Genomic DNA, 24,384 nt, shown 5'->3' on the forward strand with positions numbered 1-24,384 from the left:
AAGCAATCCTCCCACCTCAGCTTCCCAAGTAGCTGGGACCACAGGTACATGTCACCATGCCCAGCTAAATTTTTTTTTTTAACGTTTTTAGTAGCGACAAGATCTCATGATATTGCCCAGGCTGGTCTTGAACTCCTGGACTCAAGCCATCCCCCTGCTTCAGCCTCCCACAGTGCCGGGACTACAGGTGTTAACCACCATGCCTGGCCTGCAGTAGCACTTCTGTGGATAAATTAATGCCAGCAAATTATACCAGATGGTTCATTTTAATGAAATTAACCAAGTATCTGCTACGGTTTCTTCATATTTATAGTGTTCTCTCATTCTATTCTCACTCTCCACTTGGTTTAAAACAAAAATTGTATGGTAGGAGTCTTTGTTCTTCAAAGTTTGACAGAATATTGAGTAAAACAAATCAGATATACCTAGAAAATTTCCCTTACCCTTACCATATGAAGCAATAATTTTGCTATGAAAGAATGACATGTAGAGGAGAAGGTATACAGAGGTTTGGTTGTGAATTATAAAAGTAAATTGTTCTACTATTTAATGTTTATGAAAATAAATTGCTCAGCTATGTAGAACAGTACATGCAGTAATATAATTTTCATGAGCTGCTGAAGGCATGAGCAGAACAATTATTTATTAATTTATTCCCTCATCCATTTTGTGATTCTCAGGAACCATTTATTGAACAACTGCTTTGTGCCAGGCAATTTAAGGTGGGAACAATATTTAGAAAGTTACTTTAATACAATGTGGTTAAAAGACTTAATAGGACTAAGCTTTAGGATCAAAGATGGGGAAGATAACCAAGGGATGTAAAGGCAAATTTCTCAGAGGAGGAAATGCCTGCAGTGCCTGAATTATCTCTCAAAAGAGGAACGGGGCTGGGTATGGTGGTTCACACCTCTGATCCCAGAGCTTTGGGAAGCTGAGGTGGGAGGATCTTTTGAGGCCCGAGTTTGAGACCAACCTGGGAAACATAGCAAGATTCCGTCTCTGCAAATAAATTAAAACATTAGCCAGGTGGGGTAGCACATGCCTGTAGTCCAGGCTACTCAGGAGGCTGAGGCTGGAGGATCCTTTGAGCCCAGGAGTTCTAGGTTATAGTGAGCTATGAGCATGCCACTATACTCCAGCATGGGCAACAGAGCAAGATTCTATCTCCAAGATAGTTTTTTTAAATAAAAAAGAGGAATAGGATTTTTGTCTATTTTTTACCCCTTAAGGTGGGGTTTTCCTGTGTTGCCCAGTCTGATCTCAAACTTCCAGTCTCAAGTGATCTTCCCACCCCAGCCTCCTGAGTATCTGGGATTATAGGCCTGCACCACCATGACCAACTAGACATAAGATTTAAAGAAAAAAAAAGAGAACAGTGTTCTGGTTTGGAAGAATATCATGAGCATAAGCATTTAGGTGCAAAGCAGCATAGTATATTCCATAACTCTACAAGCAGATCATTGTGACAAGAGTGTAACAGTGAGACGGAAAAGGTAGAAAACGAGGCTACTAAGGCAGATAGAGATCAGTTGGTGGAGGATCTTCTATGCCATGCAGAGGAACCTGTATTATATCTCAAGGATGGCAAATAAGATTTTTTAAAATCTTGTACTCTTATCAATTATGAGTGGCTTCCTGAAAAATTGTGTTGCAGATTCTGACTTATGATCAAATTCAAGCTAGTGGAAAATTGCTGTGATTTGGGTGGCTGTGTAGTTTATTGTCCCTAATAGGACACTTTCGGGGGAGTGAAAGGGGCACCATTGATAATTACATGAGAACAACATGTATAAGTTGTGTCTGTCTCAGGCAAAATGGACATTTGTTCATTCTAGTCATGATCAATTATTCATATCTGCCATCAGTATAAAAGGAAGAAGTGATTTTTATGATAGATAATACGGAAACCAGTGTAACATTGAACAGGCAAATAGTATGATCACACTGATATTTTAGAAAGGCCTTTTTGGCTGCATGGTGGAAGATGGATTCATCAGGGGTTAGTGCCAAGCATGAAGGTAGGGGAGACTGAATTGGAGGACATTGTCATACTCTAGGCAACAGAACACGTTGCCTTGAACTAAAGTAATGAAACAGAACTGGGGGAAGAGCAGGTATTTTTGAGGAATAGTTTAAAAGATTGCATCAATAGAGCATGAAGCAATGCATGTATGTGAGAAGAGAGTAAAAGCAAAGATGAGGGTCAAAGATTTGGCTTCAGTGACTAGGTGGATAATACTGCCACAACCAAGAAAAGTAACCACAAATGAAAGAAATATGTTTATGGGAAGATGCTAAGTTCTAGTTAAACATGTTGAGTTAGAAGTATCTTTGGTATATCCAAGTTAGCCATGCATAGAACACGCTGGTGACCATGAACCTCCTGACTTCATTTTCTTCTGTATGGTTTCTGTGCTCTTGGTTTCTCTATTTAAAAATTTCTAACCTTCAGAAGCTTCTCAAAATTGCTCCTGAAGGCTTCATTTTCTTTTTTCAGTACTATTATAGGTTTATTCTTTGTGCTTATTTGTAAAAATATATTCACTTTATTTTAAAAGATTTGTGGCACAAGAAGAAATACACATTTGTTTCAGCCCATGATCGTAATTAACTTTTTCTAGGGAATGGTGTCATAGCTTTTGTTGTTTCTCAAAAGGAATTATATAAAATAACTTTTAAAATGTTAGTGATGCATGATGAATCCTGAGGAACCCCAACATTTAAATGGCAGTAGACTAAGAGGCTTAAAGAGAGTAGCCATAGAAGTAGAAGGAGAACTGGATGATGATGGACTCAAGTTAAGAGTGAAGAAGGAAGAGTTAAGACTGGCCTGAAGGAAGAAGTTGTTAATAGGATAAATGCTGTTGAGAAGTCAGTTCAGATTATATCTGAAAAATATCCATTATATTTGGCAGCTAGCTAAAGTAATTATAGAGGTATATGGCAAAACCCAGATTGAAGGAGTTTAAGGAATAAATAGATGATGAAATGGAATCACATAATGTTGATTACTCTTTAAGAAGGTTGGATGAGAAGGAAATGGAATGGAACATAAAGAAATTGATAGCTAGCAGCAGGAAAAGCGCAGGGATCCTTTAATATTGCAGAGCATGTTTACAGGTTGTTGGAAAGAAGCTGTGTGAGTAAGATTAAGAATATGAGGGTCTGGTGCGGTGGTTCATGCCTGTAGTCCCAACACTTTGGGAGGCCGAGGCGGGTGGATCACCTGAGGTCAGGAATTCAAGACCAGCCTGACCAATATGGGGAAATCCCGTCTCTACTGAAAATACAAAAATTAGCCGGGCGTGGTGGCGTGTGCCTGTAGCCCCAGCTACTCGGGAGGCTGAGACAGGAGAATTGATTGAACCCAGGAGGCGGACGTTGCAGTGAGCCGAGATCACTCCACTGCACTCCACACTGTAGCCTGGGTGACAGAGCGAGACTTTGTCTCAAAAAAAAAAAAAAAGAATATGAGAAGCAGTTGGATAATGGATGGAAACTGATGGAAAAGCTATGACAGGAATTCTTAACCTGTTGGAGAGAGCTTGGGTATGACGTTTGTGAAAGGGAGGAGAGGAAATAGTGTACATTATGATACTCTTAGAATGTAGAATTTTCCATACTCATAGCTGTTTTTTTTTTTAAGACAGAGTCTCACTCTGTCGCCCAGGCTGGGGTGCAGTGGCTCCATCTTGGCTCTCTGCAACCTCTGCCTCCTGGGTCCAGGCAATTTTCCTGCCTCAGCCTCTTGAGTAGTTGGGACTAAAGGCACTTATCACCACACCCAGCTTTTTGTATTTTTAGTAGAGACGGAGTTTCACCATGTTGGCCAGGCTGTTATTGAACTCCTGACTTCATGTGATCCACCCACCTCGGCCTCCCAAAGTGCTGGGATTACAGGCGTGAGCCACCAAGCACAACCTCATAGCTGTTCTTGAATCCTTTTTTTTTTTTTTAAGGAAGATATTTTCAGAACACAGTTTAGGAAACATAGAAGGATTTTCAGGTAACATGTAGAGCCTAGTTGAAGTATTATTAGTATCAGTACACAAATATGAGTACAAATTAATCACTCCACAAGTTTGTGGTGATACTAATTTGCTCAGCAATGTAATATAGAGAAAGCACACAACTGGAAGGATTTTGGGCTGTAGTTTTGCCAAGACAGGTGCAAGAAAAGAATAATGCAGCAAAGAGGTCTTGGTTTGTGGCAAGAAAGTGGTTTAAATAAGATACAGTGTGGTACAAAAGGGGAGTCAAAGACAGGAGTAAATGGTGGGAAGAATGTCAAAAGGTCAAAGGAATAGTAGTCTTGCTGAGGGTGATCAGCAAGTACTGTGAGTGCAGTGGAGTGGGAGGGCTGCATGATGTCTGTGTTACCATACTCTGCTGGTTGTCCTTTTACCTGACTGCTCCTCAGTCTCCTTTTCAGACATATTTGTTCTGCCTGTGCCTTACATGTTTGTGCTTCTCATGGTTACCCTAGGCTCTGCTTTAATTTCTCCCTACTTTCTCCTGAAATTGCTATCTGTATCCTCATTATTCTTAACAATATCTTCAGCCCAGTTCTTGTGCCAGAGCTTCACATTCATATAGCTCAATTCCTACTTAACATTGCCACCTACATGTCTCAAATTCAGCAAGCCCAAAATTGAGTATACCACGTTCTGCCCCAAATATATTTCCCCCACACCCCTCAGCTTCTTTAGCTTGGTAAATAATACTTGATGGAGGCAGAGGCCTGGAAATGCAACCCTTAACTACTGTTTTTCCCTGTACTTCAGTCCAGTTGATAGACAAGCCCTATTGAATCTTAAACATCCTAGTGTTTGTGTATTTTGCTTTATCCCTACTACCACTTCCCTTAAATACTGTTCACTGTCATCTTTCACTTAGACCTGCACTGTCCAGTACCATAGCCACTAGTGTCAGGTGACTGGTCCAAATTGAGATTTGGTGTGAGTGTAAGGTACACACTGGTATTTGTAGCCTTAGTATGAACAGATAATATATATGGTCATATTCCTAATTTTTTTCGATTATATGTTAAAATGATATTTTGAATATGTAAAGTTAAATGCATTATCAAAATTTCATCTTTTTTGCCATTTTATTATATGTGGCTACTAAAAAATTATAAGTAATCAGACTGGGCGTGGTGGCTTACACCTGTAATCCTAGCACTTTGAGAAGTCAAGGCAGGAGGCTTGCTTGAGGCCGGGAGTTTGAGACCTGCCTGGGTGACATAACAAGATCCCATCTCTTAGAAAAAGAAATAGCCAGGCACAGTGGCACATACCTGTAGTACCAGCTCCTTGGGAGGCTGAGGCGGGAGGATTGCTTGAGCCCAGAAGTTCTAGGTTACAATGAGCTATGATCATGCCACTGCACTCCAGCCTCCAGCCTGGGTGACAGAACAAGATTCTCTTAAAAAGAAAAGAAAAAGAAAATTATAAATAATCTGTGGTACTCATTTTTGTCTTACCTTACAGTGCTTTCGAACAGTGCTGACAGACTGTTGAGGTAGCTTCCTAATAGGTCTCTGCCTCCAGTGTTGCTACCAGTTCCAATCCCTTATTACCCATTCTGAACCACATTGTGATTTGAGTGATTCTTTAATCTGATCCCAGCACTATCCTACTTAAAACCTTTTCATTGTTTCTTTTTTCTTTATGTCATATGCCTCAAGAGCCTGCTCATCTTGTGGCTTCATCTCTACCCCATACACATTCATTCTCATTTCTCTAAATCAGTTCTGCTTTCTTGGAACATTCTTCCTTCTCTTTCTTACCTGGCTTCTTACCTTCTTATCCTCACCTTAGACTTTCTTTCAGGAATGCTTTGCTAATCATTCAAGATAGTGGTAAGTGAATTTCTCCTCCTGTATGTTCTTCTTGCACACTGTACCCTGTCTACCCTGTAATTTCACTTGGAATTACAGTAGCAGTTGCCTATTTTGTTACCTGTATTCTTCCTCTCATAAACTCTACAGTAAAGTCAGTAAAGATACATGCTTTGCTCACCACTCTGTACACAGGACCTGTCATAGTGCTTTGCAATATAAAAGGCTCTTAGGAAATATTCATTGAATGAGTGATCTTTATATTTCAGAGAAGAATATTTTAGGAATTATGGCATAGTAATAGAATATGTGAAATGAAATCGGATTAAAGATCTCTGAAGTTAGGTGTTCAGGGAACTGAGAGGCCAGATATACTGTTCTCATTCCTTTTTCTGTCTGTGCCTCATAAATAACAGGTGACTAGTTTTCTTATTACATCTTTGTTGACATGTAATTCATGTACCATACAGTGAACCCCTTTTAAAGGATACAATTCAGTGGTTTTTAGTATAGTCACAGAGTTGTGCAACAATTACAACAGTTTTAGAAGATTTTCAGGGTGATGAGTTTTTAAAAGCCTCCCATATAATTTTTATATGCTCATCTAAGGGGGCTTATTTTTTTCTTCTCACAAATTGTTCATCTGCTAAGAAGCCAAAAGTATGGAAATGTCATATGTGTTTTGTATATGTTGAATTACTCGTGACTTTGGAAAAATTTGGTGTAAAAGAGCCAGGAATAGATGAATACCACCAAGAGGCCAGTAGATAATAGGACAGGAGATTGACTATGGAAGGTATGGGTTATATGCCTCAAAGGAAAAGGAATTTAAATCTGAGGATAAGGGAGGAATGATGTCACAGCATTGTAAGCGCTACCCTCACCTCCTGACTTGGGGTGGATGAGGTAGGAGAGAATAAAACACCTGTATTTGAGGCCTGAGAGAAGCACTGTCTTTGGGAAGGGAGTAGAGCTACCGTTTCCATTATCTGAGAGTTAAGGAAATTGTTCAGGAATTTGAAATGTAGGGCAGATTTTGTTTGCTGAGGAACAGAAAGGAATGTTTAAATGGGAGTAAGATTACAGGATGGAATTAACTAGCTGGAAGGTTTTCATAGGAGTAGGTGCAAAGAATTAAGTAATAGGGTGACATGTGAGGGGAGAATTGGGTAGTTCTCTGTCCGTCTGGAGTCAGCCAAGGCTTTTATTGGTAGGATTTTAGGTGAATAGCAAAAAGAATTAGTTATATTAAAAAATAGATGGATAACATTTGTTGACTAGTTAGGGAAAAAATCATAAGAAAAAAGAAGGTCCAAATTTCCTGGGGGACTCCACCACCGAGTGACTTACTGGTGTCATTACTGTAGACAGGATACACAAGAGGAAGAAAAAGAAGCAGCTGATTGTTTTCATCATTCTCTTTTCAGCTGCTAACTAGAATAAACATTTAGATAACCAGACTAACTGTTCCACATTTTTTCCAAAAGCATCTTAGTGAAGGGGAATACTAGAGAGGGCAAAATAATATACAATGGAAAGGCTTATTTTATAACTGTATTAAATATATCACTGTGTTAATAAGTAACGGACTATGGATAAACTTAGTATATGAAATCTTTTAAAACGATATTTCAGTAGCTTGATTTACTTGCTTTATACTAAAAACTACATTTGTTGGATTTTAATATGGTTTCAAATCAATGCCTAAAGTGTTATCAAATCAATGCCTAAAGTGTTATTGTGTATAGTTAGATTTGTTTGTAACCTGCACATTGATACTTTATAGAAAAAGTGGTGTGTACTTATGCAGAGGAATTGCTGAATATATATTTGCTTTAGGGTTATTGAAAATTAAGCATTTATTTTCCTTCTCTAGTCCAAACCCCTGATACCTCTTCAAAAAGAAACTGATTCAGAGACCCAGAAAATGGTGCTTACCAACTACATGTTCCCTCAACAGCCAAGGACTGAGGATGGTAGGAATTTCATAATCGATTTTCTTGTTAAAAACAAATACTAATTTAAAAGGTGTGAAGTGAACTTTAAGTCTCAGAGACTTTTACCAGTTTGATGGGACTTCAGAGAATTGACCAAAACAGTTTGTTTCGAAATAATGGAAAAATAGGGCACGATTTCAGGGGTTGAATTTAGAAGTATAAGTGTAGCATATGCTTCCTTAAATGATTCCTTTAAATTAAACCGCAGTGTTAAAATTGATAACTTAAAAACATTTAGCTGTATGCTAGGAATACATGTTAAGTGTTATGTGATAAGAATTATTAAACCAAGAAATATTTTCTTCACCTGTGAACTTAATATTACACTTGGATCTACACACTGGATCAGGATAATCTGTTGAACTCTGACTATAAATACTACTCTTAAATTCTTTTCTTTATTTTGCCCGACAAGGGGGAGTATACCTTTTACTACTGGGCACAGATGTTTTTATAGATTATGGTATGACGACCTTTTAGACTAACGAGCAAATTGTTTTTAGTATATGTTGTACTCTCTGCGTGTGTGTGTGTGTGTGTGTTTATTGTGTTACACTTAAAGTAACTATTTTTTATGTATCTTCTTTCTGACACCAGTGAAAATCTCTGTGGTTTGAAATTATTTATAAATTAATTCTTAGTACATAGAAACACTGAAGAAAAAATGTAAATCAGTCATTTCAATCATAAGTCTTAATTTATAAATTATACCACGGGCAAGTTAAATAGGTTCTTGAACTTCAGTTTCCTTATCTTGAAATGATGATAATAGTTCTTTTGGAGCACAGCCACATTCATTCACTACAAAACACTCTGGAACCAAGCATTTCACATAAGGGATGCTTAACTTACGCTAGTATTCTGTCCTCTCATGTAAAAGAACAATTATCTAGTATATTGCATAGCTGATTATAACATTATTTAGAGGATGCTTACCCTTACTTCCTATTTTCCAGAAATCATCTTCAGAGACAAAGAAAAGTAGGAAATTGAGACATAAGTTTCAGTGAGTAAGACAAACAAAAAACTTAGCTATTGATGCATTCAAGTATTTGCTGTAATTCCCCACATGGCACTGCTTACAGCATAAGCAGGGTTTGCACTTCTATTTTTAACTTAATTTCTAATTCATGAAATTATTGTTCACATAAAACAGTAATCACTATTGACAGCTTAATATTAAGTATACTATATTTTGTTATGGAAACATACTTCCATATTTTATTGTATTGCTTAATTTGGAGATTATGGGTGAATTTAAATACATGGAAGAGAGGTTGTTTGTAAACCTATTCTCAAAGCTTTAACTATAGAACCTCCAGTGAATGAAGCTCTTTACATTAGTTATCTCACAAATCTTCTAATCGGATTAGAAAGCTGAATAGGTTTTGCTACATCTAAATACAAGTCATCAGATTTACCCATGAAATAATAACTTATCAAAGCAAGTCTTTTATTGCTTCTGGCAGAGAGCAAGAAATAGTTATCCTATAGAAGGTAAAGAGTTTTCTAATAGTTTAGCACTAGTTCTGGAATACAAGAGTATTTCAAAGCTAAACCTGCTATAACAATGCAAGAATAATAGCCAATTTGAGTCAGACACAATGCTAAGCACTTTACGTATCCGTAACTTCTCATCTTTACAATAATCCTCCAAAATAGATGCTATTATCATTAGTTGCTTCTCACAAAGCTTAAAATATTTATTTGACCCTTTATAGAAAAAGTTTACTCATCCCGCCTCTAAACTGTCCGAATCATAGGTATATTCTTGCCTTGATTTCTTCTCATGCTGGTTTCTACTTTAATAATTCAAATCTACCTTGCCTTCTTTTTCTATTCTATCATTGAAATTTATTCCTTTCCTGTTTAATTTGAAAAGAGATCACAATTCAGGTAAAACATTTATTTCTGATAGGAAGAATAGAAGTAGCAAAATCTTGCCACTACTAAATTTTGATTTTGAGATTTGTTTTAGAATGGAAGAGTTTCTAATAGAAAAGTTTGAAATACAGTATCAATTATGATATTCTGGGTCATCTTAGAGTTCATGTGTCACCTAAAGTATCCCATGGGTATTATAAACACAGCACTAAACAAGGTGAATGAATTTCCTTTCACCTATAAGAAAGGCTTTTGTCTTTATCCCAGTGCCTCCAAGAAATAGATGAGTCAAAAAATATTATGTGTTTGGGTTTGGGTTTTATACCAATTTGAGAGAATTAGGCACTGTTCACACTTAATTAATTCTATTTTTCATCCCACCTTTGTGACAGGTATCGTGCTAGAGCTAAGTAAAGGCAAAAATTCTTGCCTTCAAGATTCTGAAGGTGGGAAGATTAAAAAAAAAAAGAGGAAAAAAAGAAAGATTCTAAAGGTAGATAGTGATGAATAAATATGCAAGAGCAGGGGTGAGATCTTGGGCCTAGGTAGAGGAATCAGTCTTAATCAGAGAGAAAGGGAAGTATGCCTTCATATAACAATACATTTGTAGCTAAGAAAGCAGGATATTAGTGGAAATATGAGTCTGAGGGTTTTTATTGCATTTCTTTTTACATTGAAGTGAAAGTTGCCTCTGGAAGTTGGGGTAAGGGCATTTCAGGAAGTGGTAGTGATTAATGTATCATAAAATCTAAGCTTAATAGAGAAGGAAGTAAAACCTAGAGTGATTTTACAAGGAGCAAAAGAAAGGTAGTTAAGGAACCAAAAGTTTACCAGCAATAATAAGGAATTGAGTGATTTGGAAGAACAGGTGTAGTGGTCAAAGAGGTGGAAAAGTCCTGGGTATGACTATGGTTGTGAATCATTTAGCTGATGTGCATAGGGACATTGGGATTGAGGACATCAAGGAATTATAAAGTTGTAGTGTTGGGGTGGTGGGCTTATCATCCCACATTGACATCATTCAGGATATTAGCAGGTCTTAGGTGGAGAGAAAATCTGTAGCTAAAATATTAGAGTCCTCAGTAAGTCTATACCTGGGTGATCAGTTTGAGTAGCCTCTAGAATGGATAGAAAGGGATATTACCTGATATCCTGAATCTTCAAAGATGTGAGATTTATACTAAAGAGTAGAAAGTGTAAGTGACGAGAATTTGACAAGAATGAGAAGCATGGTATAAGTTAACTTACCTTGGGCTTCTGAATAAATTCTGGTGTAAAGTTGCTTTAGAAATAATCTAACACTAATTGGAATCTCTGGGCCAAGCTGGTGATTGAAATTACTGCCCTGGAACAAGGGAGAGGGAATTATATGAATTAAAAAATAGACTTTGTTGGAAACTGCTGGGCTGTCCTTGCCTTTCCAATCATACCACAAAAGTATGTCAGTAGGAATTTGAATCACATTCCACATTTGTTTTGAACAAAAACAAATACACTACTTCATTGAGTACGTGTTAAGCAATTTAAAAAAGCAATTATAAGGGAAAAAAAATCTTGAATGGAGTAATGAAAACAAAGAAAAGGCTAAATCAAAGAATTTCATTCCCATTGGTAAGATTTGGTTTCATGACATCCTTAATTTGGGTATGAGATTTTAAAAGGTTAAGCAAGCCCCAAATAAGGGCTTAATAAAAATGATAATTAGAAGTTTTTGTATTATGTTATTTTTGCAGAAATATTCGAATTGACCATATTTGGGTATTCCAGGAGTTTCTGGGGTTCTTTAAAGCTCATTTTGGGTACTTGTAATCTCTCTGTTTTGAGTAAAGGATAGTCATTTTCTTTTAAATTTGTGATTTTATTTTGTATTGCACAACTATGGAATGATATAAATAGTTGAATGAATTAATTTTTAAGCCTTATGTATTTTTTAGATGCCTAATAATAACAAAAAACTGACAGTTGTTTAATCTTTGCTTTTGATATTACAGGTTGAGTATCTCTTATCCAAAATGCTTGAGACCAGAAGTGTTTCAGGTTTTGATTTTTTTTTGACTTCGGAATATTTGCAGAATTCATATCAGTTGAGCCTCCCTAACCCAAAATTCAAACTATGCCAAAATCCAAACCTTTTGGAGTGCTGACACAATGCTCAAAGGAAATGCTCATTAGAATTTTTTGCATTTTGGATTTTTTGGATTAGGGATGTTCACCCTATATATCTGATAGAATATATAAGTGTTGGGTTTACCTTAAAATTTCCATTATTTTTACATTTTGATATAGAAAATATATTGTAAGAACTTAGTATATAATCCATATTATGTATAATGTTTAATACAGTGATGAAATTGCATTTCTACCATAGCACCTTTTAGAGCACTGCCCAAAACCATATATCTATGGTATTTTAATTGGTAGATTCTCTTCAGGAACCCTTCTGGTAAGAAAACAAGACGAATCAGCTTCAGGGAAGAAAGGATATGTGATTGACATTGTAAAGAAATCTTACATGGACATTATAAAGAATCGGCCAACGCATTAGGATTTCTAATTTCTTGCATTGACCATTCTTAACTATTTTAGACTTATTGTAGTGAACATAACTCATACAGAAATTATGAGCAAGTGATAGTTTTCCATAATTACAGTAAAATATAGTAGGTTTTTGTTTTTTACTTTTCTCTAGTTATGTTTATATCAGATAATGAAAGTTTTAACCCTTCATTGTGGGAGGAACAGAGGAAACAGCGGGCTCAAGTTGCATTTGAATGTGATGAAGACAAAGATGAAAGGGAGGCACCTCCCAGGGTGAGTCTGTTCTTTATTCTTTAAAATTTGAAACAAGTCTGCTGATATTTAAGTTGGTATTATATATACTATGATGTCTGGGGATATAACAAAGTATTGAATTTATTCCTTGTCCTCAAGGCACTTGAAGTGTTATTGATTCCAAATATTTCAGACATGAAAGAATTTGGGAACAATATAAAACTATGTGATTTAAAGCTAAATTTCATAGTATATATAAATATAAGAGGAAAACGTTATTATAGGCTAGAGAAATTAACCAGCACTTTATTTCAAATTAGTACCCTTTATGTTTAACTTCAGTTTAGCTGACTCTCCCCCCACCATATTCGTAATGATTATTTTCTCCCCTTTCCCTTTCTTTAATGATTTATTTTTATAAATCTTAGAGATAAAGAACTCTTTGTTATGAACATTTTGTTTCTTTATGGAATTGAAAACATGTCACAGTGATAGGAGTAGTAAATACATATTTTTTAGTTACTTAATGAATGTAATTATTTGCCCCTTATACAAACTTAGCTGAATCTCAGAAAATGACAGGCTGACCTTGGAAAAATATGGCTCTTGGTATGTGAGACATAAATATACGAATATCTGAATTTTATATATACGTAGATGAATAGCTGAAAAATGTGTATCTGTTTCAAAGCTAAGTGACACAATTTTTGGCAATATTCATACTATATATCTCTAAATGGAAATATTTGAGTCTGATAAAACTTTTAAAACATTGAAATTTACTGCAAAGTCTTATTTTGTCATAAAACCATATTTTTATCAAGCCTAAAATGCCTTCAAAGCCTATCATCTGTCTTCACAGTTATCCCTATGAGCTTGATATCTAATGTAATTCAGATGGGTTACAGATTAAATTTTGTTTGAGATTGACATTAGAAATATTTGTACTTCATATTTTACTTATTTTATTTCTCTAGGAGGGAAATTTAAAAAGATATCCAACACCATACCCAGATGAGCTTAAGAATATGGTCAAAACTGTTCAAACCATTGTACATAGATTAAAAGATGAAGAGACCAATGAAGACTCAGGAAGAGATTTGAAACCACATGAAGATCAACAAGATATAAATAAAGATGTGGGTGTGAAGGTTAGAAAATTCAAAAGGATTAACCAAAGCCTATTTCAAGTTCTTATTTTTAAATGACAGTTGATATAGTGCCCCTTTTCATGTACTCTGAATGTGCAGTCATGCACCACAGAATGATATTTCGGTCGACATGCTCACATACATATGATGGTGGTCCTATAAGAGTATAAGGGGCTGGGCGTGGTGGCTCACACCTCTAATCCCAGCACTTTGGGAGGCCAAGGCAAGCAGATCACTTGAGGTCAGGAGTTTGAGACCAGCCTGGCTAACATGGTGAAACCCCATCTCAACTAAAAGTACAAAAATTAGCTGGGCGTGGTGGTGGGCACCAGTAATCCCAGCTACTTGGGAGGCTGAGGCAGGAGAATCGCTTGAACCCAGGAGGCGGGGGTTGCAGTGAGCCGAGATCGTACCACTGTGCTCCAGCCTGGGTGACAGAGTGACACTCTGTCTCAAAAACAAAAAATAAGAGTATAAGGGAGATGGCTGGCCATGGTGGCTCACTCCTGTTATCCCAGCACTTTGGGAGGCCGAGGTGGGATGGTCACTTACACCGAGGATTTGAGAACAGCCTGATGAAGATGGTGAGACTGTTTATACAGAAAGTTTAAAAAAAAAAATTAGCTGGGCTTGGTGATGTGTGCCTGTTGACCTAGCTATTTGGGAGGCTTAAGCAGGAGAGTCACTGGAGGCCAGGAGTTCAAGACCAGCATGGGCAACATAGCAAGACAACCTGTCTCTACAAAAAATTTTAAAAATTATCTGGGCATGGTGGCATGCTCCTGTAGTCCTAGCTACTTGGGAGACTTGAGGTGAGAGGATCCCTTGAGCCTAGGAGTTCAAGGCTGCAGTGAGCTATGATCATGCCACAGCACTCCGGCATGGGTGACAGAGCGAGACCCTGTCTCAAAAAAAGAAAAAATGTGTAATGGAGCTGAAAAACTCCTATTGCCTAATGATGTCATAACACAACTTTCCTATAGTCAGATATGTTTGCATACACAAATACTTTCTATTGTGTTAGAATTGCCTATAGTGTTCAGTACAGTAACATGTTATACAGGTTTGTAGCCTTGGGGCCATAGGCTATATTACATATAGCCTATATGTAATATAGTATATGTATATGTATATGTATGTATATACATATAGTGTATGTATATGTAATATTACATATAGCCTATGTGTGTAGTAAGCTATACTGTCTAGGTTTGTGTAAGTACACTCTGTGATGTTCACAGAGGAAAAAAATCACCTAATAAATTTCTCTGAACATACCACTGTTGTTAAGTGCCACGTGACTGCACTTGCAAATTTAAGGTTTTGTTCTCAGCTACCTGAACTGGGAAACAAATAATCAGTGAAGTCCATAATTACTATCATTACCACTCTGGCTATAGAATGTCCAATTGACAGTGTATTGTCAGCATAGCCTTTAAAAAAATCATTGTCTGAACAAAGAAGATAATGAATGCCAGAAAAATTATTATTATGGAAATTTTTCCCCCTGTTAATATTGGTCCATTTTACCTAATTCTCATTTTAAATGTAATTGCAATGACAGACAGTTGGCATTTCCTTGCGATGTTTCAGAAACTTTCACAAATCCCTAAATCGTCTGTATATTCCTTTAGGACTTTGCCACACACACATTATTGTATCACAGAAACAAAAGTTTTACCATGTCATTAGAGTTACTGTACAGTCCACAATGAGCAGAAAACAATTTTAACCATCCGGAGTTGAGTTTGCTGAGCTAAGTGACTCAGTTGTCCACACTTACAAGCCTTGGCAGCTTCTAAGAGGAAAGTAACCTTGGCTAACTTTTAAATTTTAATGTGGCTCATGGATCTTTGGGGGCCACGTGCTCCTAAAATGAGCATTTTATCTGTGAGTGTCACAGGTTTCTATGTTTAAAGTTTTCATGTTTGAGATTAGTCCAGAATTGGAAGTTGGCAAATTGCTTACAAATTTTTATCTGAACTTTTAAAATAGATATAAAACTTAAAGAATATGAGCTCTTTATCTTTTCTTTTACTTAGACCTCAGAAAGTACTACTACAGTAAAAAGCAAAGTTGATGAAAGAGAAAAATATATGATAGGAAACTCTGTACAGAAGATCAGTGAACCTGAAGCTGAGATTAGTCCTGGGAGTTTACCAGTGACTGCAAATATGAAAGCCTCTGAGAACTTGAAGCATATTGTTAACCATGATGATGTTTTTGAGGTATGATTTTATGATTATTCTGGAGCAACTATAAGAACTTTCAATTTAATATTTTATTGTTGCTAAATAAAGACCTGATACTGATTGTAGAAAATATGTTAATGCATTCATCATTGAGAAATTTCATATCTGCAAAAATATCACTCACTTGTCACTTTAAACTTACAAATTATTATGCCCTTTGTATTCAGATGTTTATGCGAATTAGATTATAGATAGTCTAGGCTACTGTAAAATACATAATTGCTTTTATTTCTGTAACTTAAAAATGAAAAGACTACTATAGGCATACCCAATTATTTAACTTATTTATGCATTTATCCTTGAAAGTGAAAGATTTTTTGGTTGAATGTCTGAGACAGTTTTTAGATGTGGAGTTTCTTCTAGTGGATAAATAAAAGCTGGAACTTTTTTTAAAAAACAGCTTTATTGAGATATAACTCACATATCATACAAATCACTTATTTAAAGTATTCAATTCAGTGGCCTTTAGTATATTTACCAAATTGTGCAGCCATTACTACAGTGACTTTTAGAACATGTTTCTCACCCCAGAAAGAAATTCCATACTCTTTACCTGTTACTCCTCACTCTTTATCCCCTTTGGCCCTAGGCAACCAAAAATCTACTTTATATGCCTCTGTAAATTTGCCTATTCTTGACATTTCATTTAAGTGGAATCATACAATATGTGGTCTTTTGTGCCTGGTCTGTTTCACCTAGCATAATGTGTTCAAGTTTTTGTATGTTATAGCATATATCAACACAGCATCCATTTTTATGACCGAATAATACTACATTGTGTATATCCACCCTTTGTTCATCCATTCTTCAATTAATGGACATTTTAATTATTTCCACTTTTTGGCTGTAATGAATAAGTCTGCAGTGAATTTTTGTGTACAGGTTTTTGTGTGGATATATATTTTCATGAATGAAAAATGATTGCACCATTTTATATTCCCTTCATACACTGCTAGTGGTAATGTAAAATGGTGAAGCTGTAACTTTTTAATATGAATATCTGAAGTGTTTCTGATTTATAGCTGCATTGTTCACTGCAGTACATACTAGCTACAAGTGGCTATTTAAGTTAATACATCTTCATCCCTAAAATTTCAAAATGCATTCAAGCACACCATCTCTTTTCCTGGTTATCCTGTGAGCTGTCATTTACAACAGGAATAATTTTTTAAAAAAAGGATGGTTAATATCACTCAATACGCTATGGTATGCACTGAAGCTAATGTCACAGGCTGTGAAAAAATTATTAGGTTTGTTACAGTGAACTTATGACTCATTTAGTGTAATTTCTATGTGTAAGGCACTGTGTTTAGAGCTAAGGTGGCAGAATGGATAAGTGGATATAGGGATTTAAATGAATGCAAATATATATAATTAAGGATAGACTGTGCTAAGTGTGTTAGAAATGTACTAAGTGTTAAAGAAATTTAGGAGGAAGATTTATGGCTGCCTTGAGAAGGGGGCATTTCACCTGTGTTTTGGAAAATTTTAATTCGCAGATACAGGAGAATGGAATGAAATGGGGAAGGAATGATGAGAGTGAAAGAATGGCATTTGGAACATATGGAAAATAACATTTTATGTTACTGAATAACATAAAATGTTATGTTATTAACATTTTATGTTACTGAATAAGTCAGAGACAATATTATGAAATAAGATCAGTAGAGTAGACAGGGCCCTGATTACGAGGCTCTGAAAAGCCAAGCTAAGAAGTTTGAACTTAATGTTCTGTAGTGTTGAGGAGCCACTAAAGGCTTTTAATAGAGTGTTACTCTAATTCATAGAGCTATATATGGTTGAAAGTTACTATAGTTGTAAGAATATTATAGGAGATGCAGCACGTGAACATCTCAGTATAAAAAAGGGAATAGAGGAGCAGTATCCTAATGTTTGATTAGGATAATGGTGCCATGAAAAGGATAGAGGTACAAATTGTACAAACAGTCTTGGAAGGACTGGTTGTTATTTTATTGCCGTATCTTGAAAAGGTTTAATATGTGTTTATAATATTTGTTTTCCCTTTAAAGTCTTATGACTTAATATTTATTTATTTAAAGAAACAAAAATTTAATTTTTATCCCCCTCACCCCCTTTTCACTAGGAATCTGAAGAACTTTCTTCTGATGAAGAGATGAAAATGGCGGAGATGCGACCACCATTAATTGAAACCTCTATTAACCAGCCAAAAGTCGTAGCACTTAGTAATAACAAAAAAGGTTAGATGTTAAAGGAAAGTGCTAAGAATAGAAATTGCCTCAATAAATTTATAAATTTTTTTGAAATAAATTTCATTGAATATTATGTTATTTGATACATTTTAGAAACAAATTTTTAGACATGGCTTTCTGAAAGGTTCTCTTTCCTTCTCTCTCATTTTTAGGGAAAGTCCTTGATAGTCTTTTCTTTCTCCTCATGCAAATTTACTTATAAAGGCATGGACTTTACCGACAGATAAACTTGGATTGTTCATTTCTGCCACTTATCTGCTGTGTAATCCTTGAGTTAATTTTATCCATGTGTACATATCTGATTTGACATACAATGAGGCTAATGAAGGATTTTTGCATCAAATAGGCTAGATAATGTATCTTTTAGCACAGTACCTTATGTATAGTAGGTGCTCGTTATTTTATTGATTGTATCACAAAACATTTTTTTACACTCCGTCCAACCTCTGCCAGCCATTCTTTCATATAAGACAATCTTAGACTCTTAGAGATCTTGAAGGATATGTATCCTTTCCCTCACCCCTCCCCTCTAGCACCTGAGTATCTTTACATCATCTTCCTCAAATGTTTAGCCGTTTGTCTTTATGGCATCAATGATACTTATTATCAAGGTGGCCCTTGGATAGCTTGGGTTCATTTTGTAGTAGTGATACCTAGAATTTGTTGAGCACTAATTGCTTAGGTACTATACTAAATATTTTACGTGTTATTATCTAATTGTCACAATAACCCCCATGATGAGGTGGAAGTGGAGTGTATCTAAGAAAGAACTTAACAACCATCTATTTTAATGGTTAAGTTAAGAGCTCAAAACCTAAATACACTGAGATCAAAGTTAGAGTCCATTTGCTACTGTTAACTGTAAATACAATCCGGACTACTTGAGCTGTGCTCCTAAGATCTCAGAACATCAAAGATATCCTTAATTCATATAATCATCTATGGATATGTCTATATACACTATTTCTGTGATTTGGCTAGAATTCAGTTAGTTAAAAAAAAATTTGTAGCACTACTTTAAAAAAATACTACTTGTTATACTACCTATTATAGAATATGAACACTTGTCTGTTTCTGTTCATGTAATTGCTACACACACAACCACCTTACATACTGAGAGTTTACCATTCATAAACAAGTTTATGAAATGTTTTAAAAACATTAAGAAAGAGCTGACCTTTGAAAATTCCTTGATTTGTTTGGTGATTATATGTTTGTGGATTGAATTGCTTATTTTTATTAGAGTAGATGGGAAAAAATTCCATATATGTATGAAATAATTTCTTGCCCAGTTGAGTTCAGAAAGGTTGTAAATGAATTTTCATTATCAGTTTTTCAAATTGTAAATGGGTGAAAAGTATATTCATTGAAATTAACTGACCTTAGAAAACAGTACATAATAATATCACCTTGTCAGTAACTAAATCGAATTCTTTTTTTTTTTTTTTTTTTTTTTTTTTTTTTTTTTTGAGACGGAGTCTCGCTCTGTCGCCCAGGCTGGAGTGCAGTGGCGGGATCTCGGCTCACTGCAAGCTCCGCCTCCCGGGTTCACGCCATTCTCCTGCCTCAGCCTCCCAAGTAGCTGGGACTACAGGCGCCCGCCACTACGCCCGGCTAATTTTTTTGTATTTTTAGTAGAGACGGGGTTTCACCGTTTTAGCCGGGATGGCCTCGATCTCCTGACCTCGTGATCCGCCCGCCTCGGCCTCCCAAAGTGCTGGGATTACAGGCGTGAGCCACCGCGCCCGGCCTAAATCGAATTCTTAATAACCCCAGCATTGGTTACTTTTTGAAAAATTATATCACCATCTAAAAATTATTTAATCTTTGTATTAGGACTGAATTTTCAGGGGTGCTTCCAATTATCAATATAATTTATTACCTCATATATAGAACCAGGATGGTATAATTGCCATTTGTCATCACTGAAAAGAATTTCACACAATTCTTGGGGAATTTATCATTAATCTTAAATTTGTTTTGTTTCAGATGATACAAAGGAAACAGATTCTTTATCAGATGAAGTTACACACAATAGCAATCAGAATAACAGCAATTGTTCTTCTCCATCTCGGATGTCTGATTCAGTTTCTCTTAATACTGATAGTAGTCAAGACACCTCACTCTGCTCTCCAGTGAAACAAACTCATATTGATATTAATTCCAAAATCAGGTGTGTGAACCTCTTTTACAGTTTTTTATTTATACAATAAATAGAAGTAGTAAGGCAGATAACAAATACATAAATATATAGGGTTTAATAAATATTATAGAAGTGGTTCCAGTAATATGTTTTATTTCCCCATTTTTATTGCTGATTTTCCATTTAGTTTTTATACATTTCCATCTTAAATTAGATTTTTAAATGGGGAAGAATAGACTAGATTCTCAATCTCTGGTTAAAAAGTTGAATATTTATATATTTTTAGATATGGCAACATAAACAGCATATTTGAGGTAATTTAAGTTGAAAGGAGTATTTTTATAGTTAGAAATGCAGAATCATTTTGAGGGGCTGCCATTAAAGGGTTCATTCAGATACTCTTGACTGGTGGTGTATATTTGGCTTAGGCTTAATTTTGTAGGACACACTCACTGAGAGAGAGATAAATGTTAATTTGTATAGCCTGGAATTTAGCTGAAGTCTAAAACACATTTTATTATTTAGGCTCTTGAGAAATTGGTTGTCTATAATGTTGGCAGTGGGTTTGAAAAGAAAAAAAAAGAAGAAATTTGGTTATCAGAGTAAGGCCCTGCCATTCTACCATAGTGTTACTCTATCAGCTAAACTCTGTTAGAAAGATGGGGATTGGCTGGGCTGAGCATGGTGGCTTAAACGTGTAATCCCAGCACTTCAGGAGGCTGCGGCAGGTGGATGGCTTGAGCCCAGGAGTTCGAGACCAGCCTTGGCAACATGGTGAAACCCCATCTCTACCAAAAAAAGTACAAAAGTTGGCCATGTGTGGTGGCATGTGCCTGTAGTCCCAGCTACCTGGGAGGCTGAGGTGGGAGGATTGCTTGAGCCCAGGAGGCGGAAGTTGCAGTGAGCTGTGATCACCCCACTGCATTCCAGCCTGGGTGACAGAGCTAGGCCTTGTCTCAAAAAAAAAAAAAAGAGACAGATTGGGGTTGGCTGGATGTGGTGGAATGCCTGTAATCCGAGCACTTTGGGAGGCTAAGATGATAGATTGCTTGAGTACAGGAGTTCAAGACCAGCTTGGGCAACATGGTGAAACCATGTCTCTACAAAAAAATTGGCCAGGTATGTTGGCACATGCCTGTAGTCCCAGCTACTCGAGAGGCCAAGGTGGGAGGTTAACTTGAGCTTGCGAGGTTTAGGCCTCAGTGAGTCATGATCAGGCTACTGCACTCCAGCATGGGTAACAGAATTGAGACCCGGTCTCAAAAAAAAAAAAAAAAAGATCGGGGTTACTACTAAACCAAAAGTTTAATGTGTGGATATTTTTAATAGTCATTTAGAGTTGTTCTTAAATTTCAGGCATATTTAAGTAAAATTTGTATATATTAATGCGTGTTGTTGGAAAAGGGAGGTGAATTTTATGCCTGAAAATGAGTTTAGGTACTGTGTAATTATAATCACAATCAATCATTTATTTCTATTCTTTGAATTTGAAGCTATGAGCTGCTGTTTAAAATACTAATTTTTATAACCTCCTAGATATTATCGTATTAATTTGTTGAATAATAAAATTTTATTTATTGTTGGGAAAGCGGTATGATATTTTCTAAATCCTGCTTTTAATATAATGAAATAAAGCCTAAGCAAGGAATACAGCAACACCTTTTTGTGCTGTATTTCTAGTAATGAAAGTTATCTTTTTTGTAATGGGAAGACCAGTATTAGGGAATTTTTGTGGAAACATAACTTGAATATGTATACAAGAGGACACAAATACTTAATATCACAGGTAGAAATAAAATATTTTGTATAATTTTGGAATGACACATTTAAAAGTATTTACCAAATACAGCTAGCTACTTAGAAGAGTGATTAGACTTCATTTATCTTTCTATGCCTTTTACATATTTGATGTTAAACTTTGGACAATTATTCAGTTCTTTGCTTTGTACAATTTTCTTACCTATATATTTGAATGTAATAACAACTGTGTACTTCGTTAACTATGGTTAATTTGGTTAATAATGTAAGGCTTCAAAATTAACTGTAAAAATGTCCTTTGCTCTTTACTCCACTATTCATGTTACTAGGTTTCTCTCCATATATCTGCCCTCCCTCAAGCATTTTGTTTTTTTAGCACATTCATGAAAAGATGCAGCAAACATTAAAATTTTATTCATAGTTCAGCCCTTTAAATTATTTTGTGACAAATCAGATTGAGTGTATTGATGAAAATTAATCTTGGTATTATCTATGAATTTTAATTGTATTACTTGTCTCCAACTGAATATAAAGCTCTTTTAACTATTAAGATAATATTTTAAAATTACATGCTTGATAATAAATGCCTTTTGTCTTTGACTTTTATTAACTTTTTTAACTTGTCTACCTACACAATTTATTTATTAATGTTCCCTGTTACTAAGAAAACTCGGCTTTATTATGTTTTTCATAAAATTATCTTTATTTTAGGCAAGAAGATGAAAATTTTAACAGCCTTTTACAAAATGGAGATATTTTAAACAGTTCAACAGAGGAAAAGTTCAAAGCTCATGATAAAAAAGATTTTAACTTACCTGAATATGATTTGAATGTTGAAGAGCGATTAGTTCTAATTGAGAAAAGTGTTGACTCAACAGCCACAGCTGATGACACTCACAAATTAGATCATATCAATATGAATCTTAATAAACTTATAACTAATGATACATTTCAACCAGAGATCATGGAAAGATCAAAAACACAGGATATTGTGCTTGGAACAAGCTTTTTAAGCATTAATTCTAAAGAGGAAACTGAGCACTTGGAAAATGGAAACAAGTATCCTAATTTGGAATCCGTAAATAAGGTAAATGGACATTCTGAGGAAACTTCCCAGTCTCCTAATAGGACTGAACCACATGACAGTGATTGTTCTGTTGACTTAGGTATTTCCAAAAGCACTGAAGATCTCTCCCCTCAGAAAAGTGGTCCAGTTGGATCTGTTGTGAAATCTCATAGCATAACTAATATGGAGATTGGAGGGCTAAAAATCTATGATATTCTTAGTGATAATGGACCTCAGCAGCCAAGTACAACCGTTAAAATCACATCTGCTGTTGATGGAAAAAATATAGTCAGGAGCAAGTCTGCCACACTGTTGTATGATCAACCATTGCAGGTATTTACTGGTTCTTCCTCATCTTCTGATTTAATATCAGGAACAAAGGCAATTTTCAAGTTTGATTCAAATCATAATCCCGAAGAGCCAAATATAATAAGAGGCCCCACAAGTGGCCCACAATCTGCACCTCAAATATATGGTCCTCCACAGTATAATATCCAATACAGTAGCAGTGCTGCAGTCAAAGACACTTTGTGGCACTCCAAACAAAATCCCCAAATAGACCATGCCAGTTTTCCTCCTCAGCTCCTTCCTAGATCAGAGAGCACAGAAAATCAAAGTTATGCTAAACATTCTGCCAATATGAATTTCTCTAATCATAACAATGTTCGAGCTAATACTGCATACCATTTACATCAGAGACTTGGCCCAGCAAGACATGGGGAAATGTGGGCCATCTCACCAAACGACCGACTTATTCCTGCAGTAACTCGAAGTACAATCCAGCGACAAAGTAGTGTGTCCTCCACAGCCTCTGTAAATCTTGGTGATCCAGGCTCTACAAGGCGGGCTCAGATTCCTGAAGGAGATTATTTATCATACAGAGAGTTCCACTCAGCGGGAAGAACTCCTCCAATGATGCCAGGATCACAGAGACCCCTTTCTGCACGAACATACAGCATAGATGGTCCAAATGCATCAAGACCTCAGAGTGCTCGACCCTCTATTAATGAAATACCAGAGAGAACTATGTCAGTTAGTGATTTCAATTATTCACGGACTAGTCCTTCAAAAAGACCAAATGCAAGGGTTGGTTCTGAGCATTCTTTATTAGATCCTCCAGGAAAAAGTAAAGTTCCTCGTGACTGGAGAGAACAAGTACTTCGACATATTGAAGCCAAAAAGTTAGAAAAGGTAATTGAACATGAGTTTTTCATTATTTTCTTTATGAACTTAATTATTTTCCTTAAAAATGATGAAACAAGATTCTCTGAATTACTGATTATCT

At 35.9% G+C, this 24,384-nt stretch overlaps 1 protein-coding gene across 18 annotated transcripts in view; it reads left to right on the forward strand.

Annotated features, from left to right (window-relative positions):
• ERBIN (erbb2 interacting protein) overlaps positions 1-24,384 on the forward strand; it is a 155,972-nt gene that overhangs the window by 104,087 nt on the left and 27,501 nt on the right. For 12 of the 18 annotated variants that reach the window (XM_047417376.1, XM_047417378.1, XM_047417380.1 and 9 more), the window contains 7 exons: positions 7,722-7,821; positions 12,416-12,537; positions 13,476-13,649; positions 15,692-15,877; positions 18,006-18,120; positions 20,122-20,305; positions 22,745-24,290. In XM_047417376.1, the coding sequence (XP_047273332.1) occupies positions 7,722-7,821; positions 12,416-12,537; positions 13,476-13,649; positions 15,692-15,877; positions 18,006-18,120; positions 20,122-20,305; positions 22,745-24,290 (2,427 nt within the window). The remainder of the gene's footprint in view (positions 1-7,721; positions 7,822-12,415; positions 12,538-13,475; positions 13,650-15,691; positions 15,878-18,005; positions 18,121-20,121; positions 20,306-22,744; positions 24,291-24,384) is intronic. The other 6 variants (XM_047417377.1, XM_047417379.1, XM_047417381.1 and 3 more) reach the window with 1 other exon arrangement.

This window comes from Homo sapiens, chromosome 5, assembly GCF_000001405.40.
Source record: "Homo sapiens chromosome 5, GRCh38.p14 Primary Assembly".
Taxonomy (NCBI): domain Eukaryota; kingdom Metazoa; phylum Chordata; class Mammalia; order Primates; family Hominidae; genus Homo; species Homo sapiens.